General features: G+C 35.7%; 1 long non-coding RNA gene across 1 annotated transcript; it reads right to left on the bottom strand.

Annotated features, from left to right (window-relative positions):
- Positions 1-1,205: 1,205 nt before the first annotated feature.
- LOC124900849 (uncharacterized) lies at positions 1,206-24,515 on the bottom strand. Its single transcript, XR_007058446.1, has 2 exons — positions 24,376-24,515; positions 1,206-1,873 (listed from the first exon to the last, which is right to left on the bottom strand). It is a non-coding gene; the product is annotated as an uncharacterized LOC124900849 (long non-coding RNA).
- Positions 24,516-24,730: the final 215 nt, after the last annotated feature.

Genomic DNA, 24,730 nt, shown 5'->3' with positions numbered 1-24,730 from the left:
CTCCCTCTTGTTAAACATTAAGTAATAATACACAAGTTGGGTTAGGTATGTGATCTGGGTAATTTTGCCAGAACAGCTAGATGCTTTTTCATCATCTCCCCTCCTTTCTCCCCTGATAGTAATGGTATGCAGTTGGAAAAACACCTGTAACAGATTTTAGTGATAATCTAGTTAAAACCTTTTTTAAAAAAATACATGAAGAAAGAGATGTTGAGGAAAAAAGTCACTTGTAGTCAACTTGATTAGTGTCTCAGGTTTCTCTCTAAATGACCTCTTCCTCCTTGGAACATTGTTGGGCTATGAATGAGGAAGACATCAACTGGCCTTTACAAGATAATAATAATCAGTTACTTGACAAGTTTTCTACAGAGGAAAGCCATTTTCATTTATGAGTTAAAAGCTGCCTTGGGATTATTGCAAATATTAGAGCATCTTTTCTAGGCATCACCTTGCTAAAATATCATTTGTCAACTAGCATGGCAGAGGCATTTGTTTCTTTTAAAACATTACTCTACAGATGTATTCTGCAAATATAATCATTTGTTCTAAATACTTAATTAGATGAAAGGAAAGTGACAGTATATAGGATATGCATTCAACGTGAACTTTCACTTTTAAATCAGATCTTGGTTTTTGGCCCATTTTCACCACTAAAACTGTGAGAACTTAAGAATTATAATTAACCCTTTTAAGTGTATCCAACTTATTACATTTGTACATAATTTACTAAGGGTTCATTTTGTAGTAAGCATGTTTTAAGCATTCTTTATTTAAAAATATATTTAAGTTTACAAATGCCCAGAATGATAAACATTATTACCTCTACTTTACAAAAAAAAATGCTGAAGAGAATATAATTTAAGTAGCTTGCTCAAAATCATACAGCAAATACGTGGAAGAACTAGGATTCTAATCCAGGTATCTGCCTCTAGGGTAAGTTTTTAATCATTACCTTATACTGTATCTTTCCTACACTGTACAGCTTCACCATTTAAGGACCGACTAGAGATAATGCATGCAAAGAACTTAACACAGTACATACCTCCTTTTGAGGCCTTTATATAGTATGCCAATCTTAGTAAGTCTTATGCATCACTGAAAGCCAAGTGGAAAATGTATAGGATTAAATGCATTCTATGCCTTAGCTTTTATTATGACAATATCAATACTCTATATTTTAAAGATCAAATAAACAAAACACAATCTTTTGTTCCCATCAGCTCCTTTATTCACTCTGCTACTGTTTTCGTCACTGTTTCACTGTTCATTAACACCTCCAGGAGAGGGTGAGCTGAGTCAGGACACCTTTGTGGAATTCAATCATTTAAGTTATCAGGACTTATGAAATACATGGATTTAAAAGAAGGAGAACATAGATATGAAAGATATTGTTTAGAGTCGGCCTCAGGAGTTTAAAGATACCAATTATTTATGCTATCTATTCCTGTCATGCCATCTATAATAGAGTCCCTAAGTGTCTCCATTCCACTTCATTATTGTTAGCCAACTTTGAGTATAAACTCCCAAAAATATCATATTATTTTTGTGGTTTCATTAATAGAAAATTCAGTTTCAGAAGGTGCAAAAGTCATGAAACCCATCTAAGCATTTTAGAAACTCAGAGAACATTTATCTTTTGGTCTGTTCTGTAGGCTTCCATCTTTTCAGTGGTAGTTCTTTATCCACATTGGCCACAATTCCTACAGAATGGTAACTCCCCCCTGGTTTGTGCTGCATCCAGAAAGTTCCACGATGCTCAAAATATAGGCTGGAAATATATATCTTCATTTTGTTGCTGGTTTCAGCCTGCTGTATTCTAAGTGGATAATGGTACTGTTTTAGGGTTTCCATTTTCTGTTTATTGAAGATCAATCTGTTTGGAATGGGAGAAAAGCTGAGTTAAATTAATCTACTTTACTTCTCCACTTTAAATGTCTGTCAAAGATAGTTCATGTTACCAATAGCAAAACCATTCTAAGCTTTATATGTGCATTTGCAAATAAATGAATAAAGTTTTATCCTGTTCTCAGCAGAAGTTCCCTATGTTTTCTATTGAAAACAAATTAGTTGAAATTAGATTTTCAATTATTGTTAGAAGAGAATTATACAGGAAGCCACAAAACATTAAAAAATATTCCATGATGTTTGTGTGAAAGTTATCTCTTTTTTTTTGTTTATTTCTAAGGAAATCTTCCAATAATATTGCTCTGAAAATTATGTTATGGTAAAAACACCAAACTACTGAATTCTGCAGTGATTCAGCAGAAGAGAGGAATCACGATGCCTCTCCCTTCTTGTCCTCTATAGGTTTCTAATTTGTAGTGTATTGGTAACACTCACAAGGGATGCAGAAAATAGATGTCAATTTTACTTCTGTGTGTAAGCACCCAGCAACTCCCAGTGCAAGGAAACCTTAAAGCCCAATTAAAAACTTCGGCTTGGACTTAATACAAAAGAATATTCTATTTTCCACTCTACATTTAAATCTCGAGGCTGGTAACCTCAGATGTGCCTCTTGAAGTAAGCCTGAGTCTAGACATTGTCTTCTGTTACCCAAATAGTTACATGGATAAAGATTACAGGCCTTTATAAGTGAAAGAGAATGACTATGTGAGTCTTTCTGTTAGGAAAAGTGAAGAAATGCTCAGATATTCCGCCCATGGGGGACAGAAGTCCAAGAGATTTAGTTGTGGAGGAGCCAGAAGAAGAAATAATTGACTAGATGATAAACTTGCAAAAGATTGCTTGGAGAATGTACACTACTTATTTCAGGATTACCATAACCCTATAGCAAACCCTGTTGCATTGGCTTAAATGTAGACAAATGGATCAATGAAAGAAAGCAGAGAATGCAGCAATAAACCCCTAATTACATAATCAATTAACTTTTGGCAAAAGTTGTTAAAGTGATTTAATGAGAATAAGAAAGTCCTTTGAACAGATGGCACAGAAAAATTGGATATCTATAAAACATAAAACTTGACCAGACTTCATATCAAACACAAAAATTAAATTGAGATGGGTCATATACCTAAATATAAAAGTTAAAAGAAATAATCTTCTAGGAGAAAAGAAGAGACTATCTTAATAAACTTGGAGTGGGTAAAGTTTTTTTGACAGAATATGGGCTAGAGCAGCCGTCCTCAACCTTTCTGGCACTAGTGGCCAGTTTTGTGAAATGTACTTTTTCCATGAGAGTGATAGTGGGGGAGGGATGGTTAAGGGATGAAACTGTTCCACTTCAGATCTTCAGGCATTAGTTAGATTCTCATAAGGAGCGCGCAACCTACATCCCTCACATGTGCAGTTCACAAGAGTGTGCACTCTCGTATGAGCATCTAATGCCACCGCTGATCTGTCAGGAGGCAGAGCTCAGGTGGTAATGCTTGCTCGCCCATGGCTCACCGCCTGCTGTGCGGCCCAGTTCCTAACAGGCCACGAACAAGTTCCAGTCTGCGGCCCTGGGGGTTGGGGGCCCTTGGGCTAGAGTATATATATGTGATTAAAGATTTTATTCTGAATATGTAAATAACCCACAATTCAATGCTAAAAAGACAACAACTGAGTAAATATGCAACAGATATAAGTGGGCACAAATGAAAGGAATATGAATGTCTCAAAGCACATGAAAAAAATGCTCAACATTAGTCATCACTGAAATGCAAATTAAAACCACAATAAGATAATCCTTCTCACCTAAAAGAATGGCTAAAATTCGAAGATCTGGCAATATCAGGTGTTTGTGTATGTGAAACAACTGAAACTTTCATACATAGCTGGTGAGTGACAATACAACCACTTAGGAAATAATTCTGATAGTTTCTCATATAGTTAAATGTATGTTTGCCCTATGACCTGACAACTCCACATCTATATATTTACAAAGGAAAAATTAAAACATGTACAAGAAAAGACTTATACAACGTGTTTATAACATCTTTATTCATATTAAGCCCATACTAGAAACAATTTAAATGTCTGTCAAAGAAAGAATGGATAAACACATTGTGTTAAATCCATACCATGTAATTAGACCCAGCATCTTAGTTCAGGCTGCTATAACAAAAGGCCATAGACTAGCTGACTTACAACAACAGAGATCGTATTTATCCCAGTTCTCTAGTCTGGAAAGATGAAGATCAGGATGGCAGCATGGTTGAGTTTTCAGAAAAGGTCCTCTTCCTGGCTCGAAGATGTCTGCCTTCTTGCTGTATTTTTTCACATGGAAGAAAGAGGAAGTTCTGAGGTTTCTTTCTCTTATAAGGGTACTAATCCCATCATGGGGGTTTCACTCTCAATGATTTTATTTAAACCTAATTCCTTTGCAAAGGTCCTGCTTCCTAATCCCATGACCCTGGGGTGTAAGTCCACCACACATGCCCTTTGGAGGGAAATGCATATTTAGTCTATAACACTCAGCAATAAAATCAAATATACTACTAAAACATAAAACAGCATGGATGAATCTCAAAAAATTATGCTCAATGAAAGAAAACATATAAAAGAGTATCTACTTTATGATTCAATTCATATGAAGTTCTAAGAGAGGTAAACCTAATAAATAGTGAAAGAAATTAGAAAAGTGGTTGTCTACTTGTTTGGGGTGGGAGCTGGGGAAGACAAGGAGCACAAAGGAACATATAAGGGTGATAGAAATGTTTCTAAGAATGTGGGTTACAAGGCTGGGCGCAATGGTTCATGCCCGTAATCCCAGCAGTTTGAGAGGCCAAGGCAGGTGGATCCCTTGAGGTCAGGAGTTTGAGACCACCCTGGTCAACATGGTAAAACCCCCGTCTCTACAAAAAATACAAAAAAATTAGCAGGGCATGGTGGCGGGCGCCTGTAGTCCTGGCTACTCCGGAGACTGAGGCAGGAGAATCACTTGCACCGGGGAGGCAGAGGTTGCAGTGAGCCCCTAGACCACGCCATTACACTCCAGCCTATGCAACAGAGACTGTCTTAAAAAAAATGGAATGTGGGTTATACATTTATTTATTAAAATGTCATGTAAGCCAGGCGTGGTGGCTCATGCCTGTAATCCCAGCACTTTGGGTGGCCGAGGTGGGCGGATCATGAGGTCAGGATATCGAGGCCATCTTGTCCAACATGGTGAAACCCTGTCTCTACCAAAAATACAAAAATTAGTTGGGGGTGGTGGTGTATGCCTGTAATCTCAGCTACTCTGGAGGCTGAGACAGGAGAATTGCTTGAACCAGGGAGTCGGAGGTTGCAGTGAGCCGAGATCATGCCAGTGCACTCCAGCCTGGTGACAGGGCAAGATTCTGTCTAAAAAAAAAAGGAAAAAAAAAAAGTCATGTAAATTATACTTTAACAAAATTAAAAGTAATATTTTCTATTCAGTGCAAAAATTCTATGGACAATAAAAATATGTAAAAAATAAAAGCATGAACTTTTTTCTTATCCAATTCATCATCAAATTCTGTCCGTTTTTTCTTTAACATACATCAAGATCTAGAGCCTTTCCACCACTTGTACTATTATAACTTTTATCAGTCTTTCTTAGACTACCTCATCAGCTTCTTGTTGTGTCTAATGCAATGCTTACTTCCTTACAGTTATTTTGTCCTTCAAACAATGTCAGAGATAAACAGAGCCAAACACTAAGGTGGTAAGGATAGATTTATGCAGTAATTACTATTGCAACAAGGAAGAGAGTACAGCATAAGCTGAACTCAACTTGGATTTGTGCAAAAATGACTAGACATTTTAAAGGAAGAATGAGGGAATAGGGAACAGCAACAGCAATGTCTCTGCTGGGGCCTGAGCAGCATCAGGAAAATGGTATTTTTATTTTTAATTAAATTAAATTAATTAATTAATTAATTAATTAATTTATTTATTTTTGGGACAGAGTCCTGCTCTGTCGCCCAGGCTGGAGTGCAGTGGTATGATCTCGGCTTACTGCAACCTCTGCCTCCCGGGTTGAAGTGATTCTCCTGCTTCAGCCTCCCAAATAGCTGGGACTACAGGCGCCTGACACCACGCCCGGCTACTTTTTGTGTATTTTTAGTAGAGATGGGTTTCACCGCGTTAGCCAGGATGGTCTCCATCTCCTGACCTGTGATCCACCCGCCTCAGTCTCCCAAATTGCTGGGATTACAAGCCTGAGCCACCACGCCTGGCCGAAAATGGGAATTTTAAAAAAGCAAAAAGCAGGGGTTCACCAATGTGATTAGGCCATGTGCATTTGCGAACTGGCTCTTTATTGTAGAGTTAGGCTGCTGCTCTTCCACAGAAGCTGAGACAAGGACCCTGTCTTCAGGTGTTAGCTGGAACAAACTTTATATTCTTTTAGCAAACTTAGTTTTCCCACAGGGTGCTTAAGGGAGCTCACTTTGTCCTCCTAAGGACATATCTTGAACTACCAGAAATTGTGCTTGTGTTTGTTCATGTCTCTTAGTGTGTGTGTATGTGTGTGTGGGTTAGGGGAGGCAAGGTGTGGACAAAATCATTTGTGCTGAGAGTCTGTAGTTTAATAGGCCAAGGTTGAGGCTTACTCAAGAAGGGGACTCAGAGGAGCCTGACTAGAGTTTAGACAAGGAGACAATCTTTGTCAGCAGCCAGAAAAATATTTTTTAAAAAGATTTTCTGTTGTACCCTACAGAAAACTCTCTAATGGCTCCCCATAAGACGCAGAAGAAGAATCAAACTCTTACTGTGGTGTCCAAGGGTTTAAATAATCTTCCACAGTCTGTCCATCCAAAGTCATCTCCAACACGCTCCCCTTGCTTACTCTGCTCCAACTGGCTAACATTATTTTTTTATTCATTGACTATGCCAAATATTTTATCATCTTAGGGCTTTTGTACTTGTTGCTCCATCTTCCTGAAACCTTTTACTTCATACCTTTACATGGCCTGCTCATTCACATCCTTTAGGAATACTCAAACGTCATCTCAGAAAACCCTTTCTCATCCACCTATCTAGGATTGCACTCCACCATAAATCACTTCCTGATTTGGTTTTATACATGGCACTTTGATTTGACATATGGAACTTTTCATTCCCTTGCAGTGTTTTCTACGTTATTAATGTGTTTATTATTTAAGCCATTGTTTTTAACAATGATGTACACAGCAGAGGACATTAGTGACTTTCTTTTTCACAGCCATCTTCCCTGTGTCTAGAAGAGTGCCTAGAACTTACTAGGTATTCAGTAGCTGCATGGTGGATAAAAGAAAGCATGGAGTGGTTTTCCACATGTACCCTTATATTTTTATTTGAAAATATTTGTGTTATGATGTGAAAGTTTGATTTCACTTCTAATTTCAGGACATCAACTGACCAGCCACCCAGAAAAAGGGCCTGTTCCTTGTAAAGTTGACCTAAGCTTATTCCCAAAGTAAATTTGCCATTTTAGGGCATTATAAATTAGATATAGTTAATCTGATAAAATCTAATAAAGAATCAAAATATTTTTTGACAAACAACACATTCATTAAAAAATAAGCAGCGACCCCAAACATACAAGCCTGGCAGGCAATAGAGAACATTTAACATGCTCTCCTTCAACAGTGTACTTACCTGAATTTAAAACTCCTTTCCTTTGAGTCAAATTTATACAACTCACTGGTCAGGATTTTTTTTCCTTATCTGATATTTCTTTGGTTAGTAAATTAACAGAGCTCGTCTGCCTACAAAATATCCACCTTAGAGCTTTCATCAGCTTGAAATAAAGTAAGCAATTACTTGAGCGAAAAAAGAATTGCCAGTTGATGGTGATGATAATGTGTTATGTACCTTACATTTCTATAGGATTAATGATTAGACATTTGTCCCAGGGACACGGATTTCTCCTGAATGATCATTAATCTACAGGAAACCACCTGCACTTTGATCGTTATCCTTGAATTAAAACTTAGGGGAAAAAACAGAGGACAAGGTAACTGATCGTGATTCTCTCAAATTCAGGTAACAGATTATGTTCTGATAAAGAATTCCAGTCTCATAGAATCTCATAATAAGTGACCGAGGAAAATAAATGAATGTGTCTATGTCCCTGGGCCAAAAGACTGAGAAATCTTGGTCCACTTAAATATCTAAGCAATAACATGATATGTATGCAAGTATTTTAAAAATTTTATATAAAAATTACTGAAAATACCTTTTTACCTCTACTTTACTAATTTTAGACTTTAATAATGGGGTATCCCTAATAAAAATATGTTTGAATATTGAGTATAAGAGTAGAGTTGTGGAGGGAAATAAAATCCAACTCCTATATTGAATGTAAGAGTAGCGTTGAGGAGGGAAATAAAATGAGAGAAAGATTGGAGATTGAAGGTGAACAAATGGTCATCGTTTTGTCAGCTCTTGGGGCTAAACAGTAATAGTAAACAGGAACTCAAGGCCATTTATCTATATAATAAATTGTGAAAAGCCACACACTAAAATAACACATGTGAAGCTCATGTGCAGGCCGTGGATGAGCAGTGAGGCAAAGAGATTTCATTTAATTCAAAGTAATGTTACTATACTTTCTTAAGGCAAAGCAAAGCAGTGGTCCTTTCTATCATGCTGGAGAGGCAAATTGTCTTTAGGAAACCTAAACTAGTAGATTAAAAATAAAGTATGGAATTAAATGTGTGCTGCTGTGGTGTGTATGTTCCTGTGTAAATAAAAAGAACTCTAGAATTGCTTTAAAGAAGTTATTAACCTTGGCTACCTTATGATAAGTGCAAATGAATAACTTTTTGAAAGAATTTGTCAGAGCTGGAAAAAGACATAATAAACAAAAGACAGAAAGGCATCATTTTACTGAGTAGTGACAGAGGAAGTGGAAGAGAAGGATGAAGTAGAAGAGATGCAAGTATAATACATAATTAGGTAGGATAAAGTTGTGTAGGGGAGAGAGTTTTCTGGACTCTTAGGATAAATAATAAACACTGATTCTGAAAGCAACTGGAAATTAGATTATTTTAACCATGACATCACTACTTGGCCTTTCAACAAACTTAAAAAGTCTCAGTAAAATTTAATGAATGTCCCATTATCTCACTAGCTATTGCATCCCTATTTTCTTTCTCAGTTCCTCTTCTGAACCTCTTAAAATGCTTCATGGCAGGGTCCTTGAAACCCTTTTCTATTTAACTCAATCCTGGATGGTGCCCTAAAATTCAAATGGCATATAACCAACTCTCGACTGTATCTTTATCTAAATATTCAACAGGTATTTTAATTATAATACATAAAAACAAACTCATAGTATCTCTACCTAAATGTCCTTCTCTTTCAACATTTCCTTTATTCATTATAGACAATTCTGTTATTGCATTTGCTCAGGCAGAAACACATAGCATTATCCTTTAGCTTCTTCACACTTATCATGCCTTATATTCAAGCCATTAGAAAATCAGGTTGGTTTTCCCTCCAGAACATTTTTATTATTTGACCACTCCTCACCACCACCACTGTTGCCACTAGTCCATACCATCTTCATCATGCACCTGCATTATCATAATATGATTCTAACTGGTCTTTTTGCTTCTACCCTTGTAATTCTATAGTCCGTCTCAACAGCCAGAAAGATGCTGTTAACATTTAAATCAAATAAGTTCACTCCTTTGCTGAAAATGTTCCAAAGTCTTCCCATCTCACTCAGTCTATGAGTATGACCCAGATTAAATACTTCACTGGAATCTAATCATCATTATATCCTTAATCTCATCATCTACGGTTCTTCTCTTCTACCCCTGTGCTCCAACCCTACTATTCTTTGACCACACCAGGTACATTTACACCTCAGGGTCCTCGCACTGTTTCTACTTTTGAAAAGTTCTTTCTTCATATCTTTAAATTGTTCACCCCTTCACCTTCTTCAAGGGTTTCATTGAGGTCATCAGGCTGTCCCTGACAGCCTATTTAATTTGTGAGTCTCTACTCCCATCTCTAACCCCAAAATCCTTATCTCCTTTTTTTAGATCTTTTTTCCAGAATAGTTATCACCTCTACATACTATATGTTAAAATCTATTTGGCTTTAAGTTATCCTGCTTGGTTGTGTTATTTACTTGTTCACTGCTCTTTTTTTAGCAGTTAGAACTTGATGGGCACATAGTGGGAGCTCAATGAGTATTTTGGGGATGAATCAATGAGGGATGAAATATCAACTACTACCAGGCAATAAGCAAATTTAGTGCCTGATTTTTTTTTCCTCGAGAATGATATAGCCAAATTACTCAGAGCCTCCACTCTTTTACCATTAGGAAGGGTTTGATTATTTACAAAATGTATAAAACTAGATGCCAACAATATAGTCAGCTGTTTAAAATTGCTTATAAAGTCTTATTTTTTTCACTCTTTGAAGAAACTTCTTTACTTTCTAGCATATTTGATTTTCAATCAATTTGTCAGAAGGGCAATATGTATTTGAAAAAAAATGATCAACCTGAATACATACTCATGGAAAATTCAAGTAAAATAAGAAATAGCATGTCATTTTTGCCCTGATGTTTGACAAAAACTCCAGGCAGACATAAAAGATGTATATTGGTAAAACCATTCTGGAAAACAAATCAATCAACACTACTTTGTGATGTTGAAATATACACATGACAGTCAAACAGTTTCAATTCTTGGTACATGTGCCAGAAAGAAACTCTTGGCAACAGGCATCAGCTCATATTTACAAGTCATTGACTTGTTTATAATTGTACATAGAAAAAATAGGTGGGCACTGTTTGTAGTCATTTGCATCCTTATTTATATTTTCCTCTTTACCCTTGACACATTTCCCCAATGGTAGAGTATATTTTCAGACACTATTCATTTCAGGTTTTGCTGTGTAACCTGACTTGACCAGTAGAATGTGGGAAGAAATGACATGTTCTGCTAGATCTTTTTAATTTAAATCATCCGGAGTGAATTGTCATCATTTTCTGAGACTTAGGCTTATTCATACACAGTATTCTTAAAACTCCATGGTTTATTCACCTACAGTAGCATGCAAATTAAACATAAAATCTAAGGCTGCCCCCCACCTACTCACTGACCAAATGGACAACCTCTTGGCCAAGGCAACCCCAGAACAAACCTTTAAACTGAGTTTTTGGCCATAACAGGACAGGAGGTCAAACAGGCCTCGCTATACCCTCTCCCTTTTGTGGTTTAGACACAACAAGTGAGGAGCTTTAATGTTAAAATAGAAATTATAAGACTGACAAAGCAGACTCTTTGTAACAATAAGACACCAAATTATAAATAGGACCTAAGGCCATGCCCGGCAAGAGTTAAGTCACCTACCCCTACACTTAAAGAATAAACTATGTTGTAACTGCCACAAGATTTTTTCTTTTTTTCTAACCGCAAAACAAGCACTGGCCTCAAGATAAGCAATATTGAAACAAATGCAGCACATCCACTGGCAGACACTAACAAAACCCCTGTTCTACCAGCCATAACTACAGCTCTGACTGGATAAGAGATTGATATTAATAACTTTCCCCTGGAAAGGAGACCATCAACCATGGGCTAGTTCTGGCTGGTTTACACAGGCTATGCACTTGCATGTCTTTGTGTCCTAAAAATACCTTTTAAAATATAGGGCCTAATACATCTAAGAGCTGAGTCTCTAACCTAAAATGAACAGGGGTCATATGTTACATGCAGGTTTGTTCAATAAGCATGTGTCAGGACCACCTTTATGAATATACATAGCTCCTCCTGTACCCTATTGAATATGCATGTTTGGCCAACCTGTTCAGCATATAGCTTCTACCCTAACACCTTCTCCTTCCAAGGGCTGTGTCTCTGGTCTTGGCTAAAGGTATGTTTTCCAACCTGTGGAATGGCCACTATGCAGGCTGTAGCCCTTTATAAGAAATAAAGCCTCCTTTCCTCTTTCTAAACTTATAGCTTATGATTTTTTTTAAGTTAACTAATAATTGCACCAATAATGCTCAACTGAAATATAAATAAACATTTTTGAACTGGACTAGACAATTTATTAGGTAAGCCTTCCGAGAGATAAGCATACAGAAAAGATAAAGGCAAGCAAATACAAGATTTATTACCATGTATTGTTAAGGCCCCAAATCCAAGGAAGCTAAGACAGGTTACACAAAATCCCATCTCTCCCAGAATCCCAGGATCTCCAGTTGGCAAAACGGAGACCCAGGAGAGCCAATGGTAGAGCTCCAGTCTGAGTCTGAACACCTGAAAACTAGGAGAGTTGATAGTGTAAGTTTTAGTCTGAGTCCTAGTGTGAAGGCAGAGGACTGATGTTCCAGCTCTGTAGTCAGGCAGAGAGGGCAAATTCTCTTTTACTTTGCTTTTTGGTTCTATTCAGGCCTTCAGTTGGTGGAATGAGGCCCACCCACATTAGGAAGGGCAATTCTTTACTCAGTCTACTGATTCCAATGTGTTCTCACCCAGGAATACCCTCTGATATGGTTTGACTGTGTCCCTACCCAAAATTTCATCTTGAATGGTTATCCCCACATGTCAAGGGCAGGATTAGGTGGAGGTAATCAGATCATGGGGGCGGTTTCCCACATGCTGTTCTCGTGATAGTGAGTGAGTCCCACGAGATCTGATGGTTTTATAAGCATCTGGCATTTCTCCTGCTGGCACTCATTCTCTCTCCTGCCACCCTGTGAAGAGGTGCCTTCTGCTATGATTGTAAGGTTCCCAAGACCTCCCCAGCCATGCAGAACTGTGAGTCAATTAAACCTCTTTTCTTTATAAAGTATCCAGTCTTGAGTATTTCTTCATAGCAGCGTAAGAATGAACTCATACACCCTCACAGGCATATCCAGGAAAATACTGAACCAATCACGGCTCACTGCAACCTCCACCTCCCGGGTTCAAGTGGTTCTCCTGCCTCAGCCTCCTGAGTAGCTGGGACTACAGGCATGTGCCACCACACCCGGCTAATTTTTGTATTTTTAGTAGATATGGGGTTTCACCATGTTGGCCAAGCTCGTCTCAAACTTCTGACCTCAAGTGATCCACCCGCCTCGGCCTCTCAAAGTGCTGGGATTACAGGCGTGTGCCACTGCACCTGGCTCACATTTTTATCTTAAAAACTATTTGGGGAAAAATGTGTTTTATTTAATTCAGCCTAATGTTTTAATAGCATGAAAAAATTCAGTGTAGTTATACTATATAAGAAATATAGTTCTGGCTGGGCGCAGTGGCTCACGCCTGTAATCCTAGCACTTTGGGAGGCTGAGGCAGGTGGATCACCAGGTCAGGAGATCGAGACCATCCTGGCTAACACGGTGAAACCCCGTCTCTACTAAAAATACAAAAAATTAGCTGGGCGTGGTGGCAGGCACCTGTAGTCCCAGCTACTCAGGAGGCTGAGGCAGGAGAATGGTGTGAACCCGGGAGGCAGAGCTTGCAGTGAGCCGAGATCGCGCCACTGCACTCCAGCCTGGGCAACAGAGCGAGACTCCGTCTCAAAAAAAAAAAAAAAAAAAAAAAGAAGAAAGAAATTTAACTTGGAAAAATACATATGCCTGGATTCATTGTCTAATGAGAATCCACAGTATGGTGACTATATCTACTTCAGTATCAGTTCTCTACCATATTAATAGAGCCCAATAAATTTGGTGATACAATGTTCAGCTTATGTGACAGTGTTTAAGGAAGTTCTTAGAGCAGAAACACTTGCTTCTCTATCTTAAAATTTTATAGTGCTTTATATCTCCAAAATGGATTTCAAAAATCACTTGCACTTTGAATTTAAAATAATTTTGCATGAATTCATTCATGAGTCAGCTAAAGTTACCATATCAAACATTTAATTTGTAAAGTAACTATTTCAAAGACGATAGAATACTCAGAAGTGCACTGCTGTGAAAAGCTACACCATTTATGATGGTATAGAATTCAGGTTTATATAGATAAAATGGTTTTGGCATAAAATAAGGCTACAAAGTCAACATAAAAAGTAAGTATATATAAAAAATGCAATTCAGCTTGTATGTTTGTTGTAGTGCCACTGAAAATCTGACGATGCTTAGAAGCTCAAGATTTAGAAAAAACAGTTTCCATGTTCATAACCACTATTTCTGATATCTCATCATAGACAGACATAGAAGAAGAATTTTGTATTGAAATATTTACTTAGAGAATAGAAAAATAGAATGTATTTCAAATGAAATATAGAAATATGTCACTTGTTCACAATTATGTAAATGAGGCAGAAACATCAGTTGTATGCAATTATGATAATCATAAATGAAGATAAAATCATTTTCAAGTGACTTTGTTTTCAAATACTTACTTTAAACATATAACCTTTAATACTAGTAGGCCTCCAGGTGTGACATAAGCAGATGACAAAATTCATTATTAAGAGATAATATGATTTTCTAAAATTAAATCATAATATCATTTGCAAAGTACATCGTGTTGGTTTATGTTACAAAATAAATACATAAAATTGTTTCAGTATGACATTTCTTGATTAGCCAAGCATAGAATCTACAGTTATTTCAATTGAGTTTCCTGAAAACTGGAAATTTTATTTCAATGGTACAGGAAACAATAGTCTTTTTTTCTAGAGAGGTTAGTTCTCCAAAGACAGGTATTGAGATTGCCTTTAATTATTGAACTGAAACAGTTCAGAAACACAAGCTTATTTTCCCCTCCCTGTACTGTATATATACTTCTTATTTCTCTTTTAAAGAGATGCAAGTACCTTAGATACCCTGTTGATCATAAAATAGATATTATCATAATTGTATAATGAATCAATGTCTGGTCTAGTACATACCACAAATAAACATAAACCAGCTAATTCATGAAAGAAATCTATAAACTTTCAGCCATTTCCCTAAACAGTGTTTAAAGCACCTATTTATAATTCTTTCATGCCTTGGGTAATACTGTTTTCTGTCTTAAATGGCTTTTGCTCCTATTCTGCCTCAATTTATATGACATTCACTCTGAATCATCCACAACTTTTGGGGCAGATTTCCTGATTCCTTTTATGTTGCTCCTATAGACTTTTGATCATATCATTGCAGTTGGAGCATCCATCATGTTATATTGCTTTATTTTATTTTAAAATCTCTTTCTCTCAGATTTGGATATCTTAAAGGAAGGAATCTTGTTGAATTCCTCTTTGTAGCCATGATGCTTAGGATAGTAATGTAAAAATAGGGTTATCCAATATATAATAATTAAGGGATTGTTTTCTATATCTAATTTGTTAGATTTAAGAACAGATAAGGAGAAGGACCTCACTGAAGCTATTTTTAACATAGTGTAGAACAAAGAATACTAGACAGGTTTTGTAGAGCCTGAAATGATTTGCAGTATAATTTTGAAGAAAAAAAAATGCACAATTTTAAATAAGTGATGAATAAAAAAAGAGGTCATTAGTTTATTATCTGAAGCCATTCCTGCTTCCAAATGGCCACAGTAACTACTCATAGAGGGGACTGCAAATCATATCGATATATTTCTGGAGACCAACTAAATGTACTTCCAACTTGATGACCCCTTAGCTGATTGCCAAAAATGTCCCTGACCATTCCAAAGACACTTGACACCTAACATCATGGAAAATGTAATGGAGTGATAGCTAAAGTTGAAAAAAAAACCTAGCATTATAAAATGTTTGCAGTTAAGATACTTTCACAAAATGTATAAATAACATTATTATGTGGACCCACTGCTTGACCACTCCCAGGGCTTTGGATGGGGCCAGTGAAGGTGAAAGGACATAGGGCATCACTTTGATTAGCTTCAGAAAGCAGCTACTGTGCCAGACAAGATTTAGGAGACTTGTATTCAAGTTCCAGTCTCATCACTTACTAGTGTTGAGTTTCTTTTAAAGTTCAGTTTCCATTTCTCTAGAATAAAACACTATCACGTTTATTCTGGTTTTGGGATTATCTATCACATTCTAAATGTCCCAATATTTTACTATATTTTAAAGTTAGTTAATCCTTACTCCACAAATGAAAAAAAATGAAAGCTTATAGAGATTAAGAAAAATGCCATAACTGTAGAGTGGGTAGATAGCGGAGTCAAATTGAAAAATTAATCCTAATGCATTTAGTACAGAATATACTGCCTCCATTGGTCAAACTGGAAATTTAATAAAGTTAAGTTGCAAGGAGAGTCTGAACCAATGCAATCAACTTTTCTAATCCTTGAAGGAACCTTAATTATACAAAGGAGTATAATCATACCTTGTCATTCAAATAATGCTAATTAAGACTTACAAGTGAATGTAATTCTGTATATCCATTTAAAAACTAATGTTTGTAAATAAGGAAATACTACAAAACTTCAGATCATACTATTCCATAATTTACTATTTCAAATGATAATAATATGTCAGCAAAGTAATTTGTTATTAAATGCAGATTTCCATCATAATTCTAAATGGTTTCCATGAATAATCATCTTTTATTCGACTGATTTCCTATTAATTGTCAATCTAATTTTAACTTTTCATTATTATACATATTGATAACATTAGTGATAATGTTTCACAAATGTGTATTTCCAAGTCAGATTTTTTTCTGTGAGACCCAAATCCATATGTCAAACTGCTTTACTTACTTTTTTCTAGTTGGTTATAATAAGGGGATTGGAAACTCAACATGATCATAAACAGTGAGTGCTACTCCTTCTCTGTCCTTGTCTTCCAGCTCTTTCCTCTCCAAGAATGAAGCCACCACTATCCTTTCACAGAAACCAGAGATTTCAAAGTTGTTATTGGAATCTCTCTCTCTGTTAAACTACATATGTACACAAAATATGTGGTATTTGTTTTACTTTTTATATAACTTTCAAAACTATTACCTCATTTCTATCTTCATAGCTTTCATACTAGTTAAATCATCACATTTTGGCTGGTTTCCAGGAAGTCTTATATTTTCATGAAGTCCTGCAACAGGTTAAAACTATATCCCACATATCAATAAAAATATTTTTGAAATACAAATAGGATCATGCCATTTTCTGCTTGAAATCGTTAATAGGTTTCCCCTTGCTATTAGCATGAAGTAAATATCCTTGATAATTTATATGTATTTGCATAGTCTGGCTTCTCTACATCTCACCTGCCTTCAACTCATTCCACCACCCAGTGCACTATCTACACCACTCATCACAGCTTGCTTTCTCACATTCATCATTCTCCCTACTATTTTAAAGTATGTGAGTGCTTTGTTATGTTAAAATTCTCATCATCTTGATGAAGGAATTGATTAATTATTGTTCAGCTGTCAACCAATTACATAAATTGATAATAATGAATTGGAGGGCAAGCAGAAATAATGGGAAGGATAAAGAAATCTAAACACCAGGAGTTTAAATTGATAAATACACTTTTAAAAAGCATAAGCCTGATTAAAATATAAAAGATTAAGGCAAAAATAAACACGCTTAGAAAACAAAAAGCAAGAGATATTGGTGTGATTAAATAATTATAAGATAATTCTACATGCAATTTTTTGGTGAGAGAAAAATGAATGAATGCTTGCCAGAGGAAATGGATAATTTTCTGAAAGAATAAAATTAACCAAATTAACCTTAAATAAATCAAATGTCTAATTGACTATTTATCTTTAAAAACAATCTGTTGAAGTCCTATCAGTAAAAATAACATCAAGACCAAAGATCCACTAATTCTAATATTACTTAAATAACTCTTGGCCATAAGAGATAAAACTGCCAGACAGTATTAACAAAACTTGATTAGAAGTAGCTCAAAAAATAAAATCTATATACTAATTTATAGGATTGTGGTGATGGATAAATAATTTGAAACAATTTTAAACAATAAAACTCACTGAAGGATAGTTAAGAAACCCTTTAAAAATAGGAATGCAAAAACCATAATTTCAATCTTACTAAAAGGAATTCAGCATGATGTTAGAAGAATAATGCTATGAGAAAATAAAGCTTTAAACCAGGAAACAAGGACAGTTTAGTGTCAGGAAGTAGCATATAATAAAAAATTAATATAAACAAATTAAAGAAAATGATATCAGATACTGTTGAAAAGGTAACACAAAATGTAGTCATTCCTATAAAAATTTAATCATAATAAACATTTCTTAAATAAACATGATAATTGATTTTTATCCCAAAGCAATAGCAAATACTGTGCTACCTATTGAAATTCAAAAGCTGTGCAAAATAAAGCCAGAAACTTGGCAGAGATCTCTCATTGTTACTGCTTACCAAGATATTTTACAAAATGCAGTAAGGCATTTTATTACTTAAAATAGTAAATTCCTGTTGTAATCACCAGAAAAATTGCAATAGCAACATTTTTTCTTTTTTTTTTGCTAATAATATGCATAAAAAACTTGAGTGATAGAAACAAGAAACAGTAAAAATTAATGAGACCTTGGTTAGTGGCTAGATTCAATATAAATATTCATAAGCCAATAGTATCTCTCTCTCTATTCAGTGAAAAAGTATCTAAAATGGAAATGTGAAATAATATTCCATTTGAATAGCAACAAAACTATAGCATTCTTGAGAAATATTAACACTTTTGGATAATATTAAATGGCCCAGGAACTCTATGAAAGAGACTATTCTTTCATATATATCTTTCAATATTATCATTCTATTCAGATAATACATACATATGTAAATGTATAGATAATATGGACAATAGGAAGAAATAACAAATTCTGAATGAGAAGACTTTAGCTAGCAAAAATATCAATTCTTTCTAAAGTAACAAGAAATGTGTTGCCATTCCAATTACAATCCTAAAAGGCATATTAATGGAATCTGAATGGAAAAAATTATGTTTACATTTCTATGGAAGAACACCAGAGACTAACCAAGAAATAAATAAAAAAGAGTAGTGAGAAGGGAACTAATCTAACTAAATATCACATCATACTATTATCATGAATCTATGCAATCAAATCATTTACTCTGTGTCTCAAAATAAATAAGTAGTCCAGAGGAATAGAATGAAGAATCTATAAATAAATTCTTGAATTTATGAGAACACAATATATGGTATTCTTGATAGGTCAATTCAGGAAGAAAATAAATAGGACATTTCATAAAATTTTATGGTACCAATGGCTGTGGGAAGGGGAAACCTTAGCTAAATTTGAAATCTCTAAATTTTAAGGTTACAAGTTTACTCTTAATCCTACAAAGGTAAAGTTAGATATATTCAACTATAATAAAAATTGTTAATGTGTACAAGAGTCAATTACAAAACCATTAGACTACCAATAAAGCTAGAAAAATGTAATACAGAAGATAATGTATTAATATCTATAATTGACAAAGCACCAAGTTGATAAATAAAAGTGGGCAAAACATAAAACTAAATAACTCTTTAGAACAATAAATATTTGAAAAATAAATGTATGAGAAAAAATGTTCACCCTACTCAAGAAAATGTGAAAGGAAAAATAGTTGTATAAATCTTTGTATCCATCAGACTAGTAAAAATCGACAAGTGCTATGTCACCTTTTCTTGAAAGTGATGTGTGGGAAAGGGCTCATATGTTGCTAGTGGAAATACAGTATCATAGACTCTTCAGGAAGTAATCTAGAAATGTCTACAAAAAAATGCGTATATCTTCTCTCAACTTGTCAAAGTCATTCTCTGTCCAGCTTTGTTCCATTGCTGGCGAGGAGCTGCATTCCTTTGGAAAGGGAGAAGTGCTCTGATTTTTAGAATTTTCAGCTTTTCTGCTCTGTTTTATCCACATCTTTGTGGTTTTTATGTACCTTTGGTCTTTGATGATGGTGACGTACAGATGGGGTTTTGGTGTGGATCTCCTTTCTGTTAGTTTTCCTTCTACCAGTCAAGACCCTCAGCTGCAGGTCTGTTGGAGTTTGCTGGAGGTCCACTCCAGACCCTGTTTGCCTGGGTATCAGCAGCAGAGGCTGCAGAACAGCAAATATTGCTGAAGAGCAAATGTTGCTGCCTGATCATTCCTCTGGAAGCTTTTTCTCTGAGGGACACCCGGCCATGTGAGGTGTCAGTCTGCCCCTACTGGGGGGTGCCTCCCAGTTAGGCTACTGGGGGTCAGGGACCCACTTGAGGAGGCAGTCTGTCCGTTCTCAGATCTCAAACTACGTGCTGGGAGAACCACTACTCTCTTCAAAGCTGTCAGACAGGGACATTTAAGTCTGCAGAGGTTTGTGCACATGTACCCTAGAACTTAAAGTATAATTAAAAAAAAAAAGAAAAAATGCATATATCTTCAATACCTTCCATCACAATCCTATTCCTGGAAATTTAGTCTACAGCAAATACAGCAAATATATATTTATATATAAAGTATATGTGTGTGTATATATACGTATATATACACACATAGACCCACAGGCACAGCTGTGCTTTCTTTTTTAATGAGCTAATGTGGATGAAGGAGACAAGGGGAAAGAATCCAGGAAAAGAACACTTATGGGGGAAATAAACCAAGTATATGATTATATTTATGCAGTTACATAAAATTACATGTATATATTAAATAATTTTTAAATTATTATATTTTAAAACTTCAAAATTAAATAAATTTTAAAAAATGGTGAATGAGAGGTAAAGAAGCTGAAATATCAGGCTAGAAAATTATTTTGTGAAGGGTTTTGTTGAGGAGAAGCAAATTTGAGCTAGGAAAAGAGCAACAGTAGTGTAAAAAAAGAATTTTTTAAGACAGGCAGGCAAAACTGTAAAAGATTTTGACATGGATGAGGATGATATCAGTAGAGAGGGAGAGAATGATAGCACAGGAAGCACAGCAAAGAACTGAAGGGACAAAGCCCTCCTGAGAGTGAGGTAAATGGAATTTAAATGCAAGTGGAAAGTTCTATTGGTGTTACAAGGACTTTTTTCCCATTTTGAAAACAAGAGGAAAGGTAGTGAGACCAGCCATTTTTGTATATTGTCCTGTAGACACTGTGATGGAACAGGAGCTACTATATGTGTGGTGCTTAGCTTCTCACTGAAATACACATATTCCCAAATGGTATATCAAATTACACTCACAAGAAAATATTATAACATGGGAACATAAAGTTGTCCTTCCCCACATTTCTTTCAACAATGAGTATTGTTAGTCTTTCAAGTTTTTACAAACTTGATAAAAATGCTATCTCATTTTATTTGTATTTAGTTGGTTACTGTTTGGAGGAGTGTGTTAATTTTCTATTGTTGCTGTAATAAATTACCCTATATTGAATGGCATAAAACCTACAAATTTAGCTTACAGTTATATGGGTTAGAAATCCAACATAGGTCTCACTGGTCTAAAGTGAAGGTGTTAGCAGGGCTGTATTCCTTTCTATGGGCTCTGAATATGAGCCACTTCTTTGTCTTTCTAGTTTGTAGAGGGCTCCCACCTTTCTTGACTCATGACCTCTTTCTTCCATCTTGAAAATCAGCAACAGCGGGTCAAGCTCTTTTCATATGGTATCAGTCTGACTCTTTTCACCACCCTCTTCCAGTTATAGGAATCCTTGAGATTAAATTAGGACTAAACATATAATCCAGAATAATGTCTTTAATGTCAGCTGACTAGCAACCTTAACTCCATCTGCAGCCTAAATTCCTTTTATCCATGTAATTTAACAGATTCATATGTCCCAGAGATTAGAACACAACCGTCTTTAGCGGACCGTTGTTTGACATGCCACAGGGAAGAGTCCTGTCAAAAATTCATTTATTTGTAAGTTTTGTCCCTCAGAGACCTTTGATCTGAATCCTATTTCCTATCTTTCAACTTCAATATGTATAATGTTGATTCATTATTTCCTGACATTTTGTTTCCTAGTGAGCAGGTGGAACTCTAAAATGGCACATAAAGGTAATTTCTAATGTTCTTCTTGACACCTAAGAGCCAATTTATTTTTCAATGGCTCATTTGAATGCAGAATCTCAGGTATGAGGCTCTGAATTGAAGATTTTATAAAAATTTGTATCTTTTATTCTTTACCATACTACTCTGAGGCTTTAATAATTAAAACAAATCTGCTGTAGGTGTGTGTATGTGAATTTTCACTATGAGAATTAGAAAGTATTCCTAAATAAGCATGTAAGCTGATATAAATTGTTGGAAGCCATTACTCTTCCCCTAAATCATGTTTATTACTTTATAGTGAACAATAATGCATTTATGCCAGTAACCCTTTCCATATGCCACTGGTTACAGAGAATATAAAATATAAGGCAAATCACACTGGATTAAATATCAAAATAAAAATGATGGTTGCCATTTAGTATAGTTACGGGGAAAAAACCTTACACCTTGGAAAGTAGGCAAAGTGAGGGCATTATCCTTCCTTCCTTCCTTCCTTCCTTCCTTCCTTCCTTCCTTTCTCTTTCTTCTTTCTTTCTTTCTTTCTTTCTTTCTTTCTTTCTTTCTTTCTTTCTTTTTCTTTCTTTCTTTCTTTTTCTTTCTTTCTTTCTTTCTCCCTTCCTTCCTTCCTTCCTTCCTTTTTCTTTCTTTCTTCTTATGGTGTTTTCACTCTTGTTTCCCAGACTGGAGTACAGTGGTGTGATAGGCTCATTGCAACATCCGCCTCCTGGGTTCAAGCGATTCTTCTGCCTCAGCTTCCTTAGTGGCTGGGAGTACAGGCACATGCCACCACACCCAGCTAATTTTTTTGTATTTTTAGTAGAGATGGGGTTTCATCATGTTGGCCAGGCTGGTCTCGAACTCCTGACCTCAGGTGATCTGCTCTTCTTCGGCCTCCCAAAATGTTGGGATTACAGGTGTGAGCCACTATGCCCAGCTGGGAGTATGTTCTTTTCATATCATCCTTGGGCATTGTTTAACAAGCCTACCTAAACCGTAGTCATCTTTTCAGGAAGATGCATTTGTGCTTGTCTCAGCCATTTACTCTTAATTAGAGTTCATACTCTATGTAATTATAGGTCAACTTCTAGATTTTTGTGTGACAGTTATGCAAATGATTTTTCCTGATAGAAATAACCTCAAAGATTATGGTTACAGTTTCATTACTTATAGAGTATTAACTAGTTTTATATGTAATTTAACAATTTCATTCCCATGTTAATTTCTAGTGGTTATAAATTACTGAGTTACACAAATGCTAGTTCAATCAGCTTTACCATTTCACTGGTTTCTTCATGCAAAAGTTAAATAAATTTTTGAGAAGTTTATAAAATAAGTTCAGTATAGTTGACTAAAATTAATAGACATTCTTCAGGTTGTACTATAATCGTGTAAGACTTGTTTGAAAAATATTTTGAAAATTATAATTTGATGTTTTTCAACCATAGCCTAGTAATTTAATCTGTTTAAATTTGGTGCAGCCCTTCTGAACTTATTTAACCATGGAAATTCTTCGTGTACTATGCATCAAAATCCATAATATTAGTGATGTAAATTGCCTGGGATATGGTTGAAATGACAGCCTACTGAACTCTACAAGCTTTGTAATACTGCTGTCACCAGAGTAACTAAATATCTTGATCAGCACAGTGTATCTCCTAATGTGTTACCAACTCCCAATGTCATCTTAGTAATAATTTTTATTATTCTTTCCTCACATTCAAGAATTACTAGTGGATCATTTCCCCTAGTAAGCAAGTTATGTGCAAACCTGAAATATTTGAGTTTGCCCAACGTATTAGTCAGGGTTCTCTACAGAGACAGAACTAATAGGAGATATCTATATCTATCTCTCTATCTATCTATAAACACATATCTTTCATATATATATATATGAAGGGGAGTTTATTGAGGAGTATTAAACTCACACAATCACAAGGTCCCACAATACGCCGTCTGCAAGCTGAAGAGCAAGGTGAGCCAGTCTGAGTCCCAAAACTTAAGAACTTGGAGTCTGATGAGTGAGGGCAGGAAGCATCCAGCACAGGAGAAAGAAGGTAGATTGGGAGACTAGGCCAGTCTAGTCTTTTTTTGTTTTTCTGCCTGCCTTATATTCTAGTTGCTCTGGCAGCTGATTAGATTGTGCCCACCCAGATTAAGGGTGGGTCTGCCTTTCCCAGCCAACTAACTCAAATGTTAATCTGCTTTGGCAACACCAGGATGAATACTTTGCATCCTTCAATCCAATCAAGTTGACACTCAGTATTAACCATCACACAGGATGTTAGCAGGAGTAACTGGTACTCCTGGTACTAATTACTGTTTTAGCTTCCTGGCAGAAAACAGGTAAATTTTCAATGAGGTAATTAAGGAGAGAATAAATGAATGAGCTAGTGTCAAAAGTATGGTCTAGGTTAGAGGAAACCAATGAAGAATGTTGAAAAATTCCATTATTAGCCACATCAGGGCACCATTACCAATTCTTGGCTTGAAGAAACAATGAAACAAAGAGTGGTTAGCCAGAAAGAGCAAAACATATATGAAAAAGGAGCCTGACTAAACTGTGGCCTTTGATAGAAAAACAGAAACTTGCCACTTACATCCAAGCAGTAAAGAAAGCAGGAAAATGAATGGGGCTATTTTCTACTGGTGCCTCTCATTGGAAGTCAGAAGTCAATGGGGCCCAATTGATGCAGTCCACAGGGTCATCTTCGCAGAGCATGAAGGGTAGAGAGTGGAGCTATAGGAACAAATAAAGAATATTCAGAACAATTCACTATTGTCTGATATTTGCACAGATTTTCCTTGTAAAATAACATGTCTTAACTTTTATTTTAGGTCAATATAACTACAGAAGAGCATTAAAGCTGAATATATAATCTGATAGCCTCAACATTTGCACTATAGATGCGTGATTCACGAACATCCTAATTCCAGAATGAATAATATTTGATT

Source organism: Homo sapiens, chromosome 4 (assembly GCF_000001405.40).
Source record: "Homo sapiens chromosome 4, GRCh38.p14 Primary Assembly".
NCBI lineage: Eukaryota > Metazoa > Chordata > Mammalia > Primates > Hominidae > Homo > Homo sapiens.
Note: the sequence above shows the minus strand (reverse complement) of the source record. Positions and strands in the feature narration are given on the sequence as shown.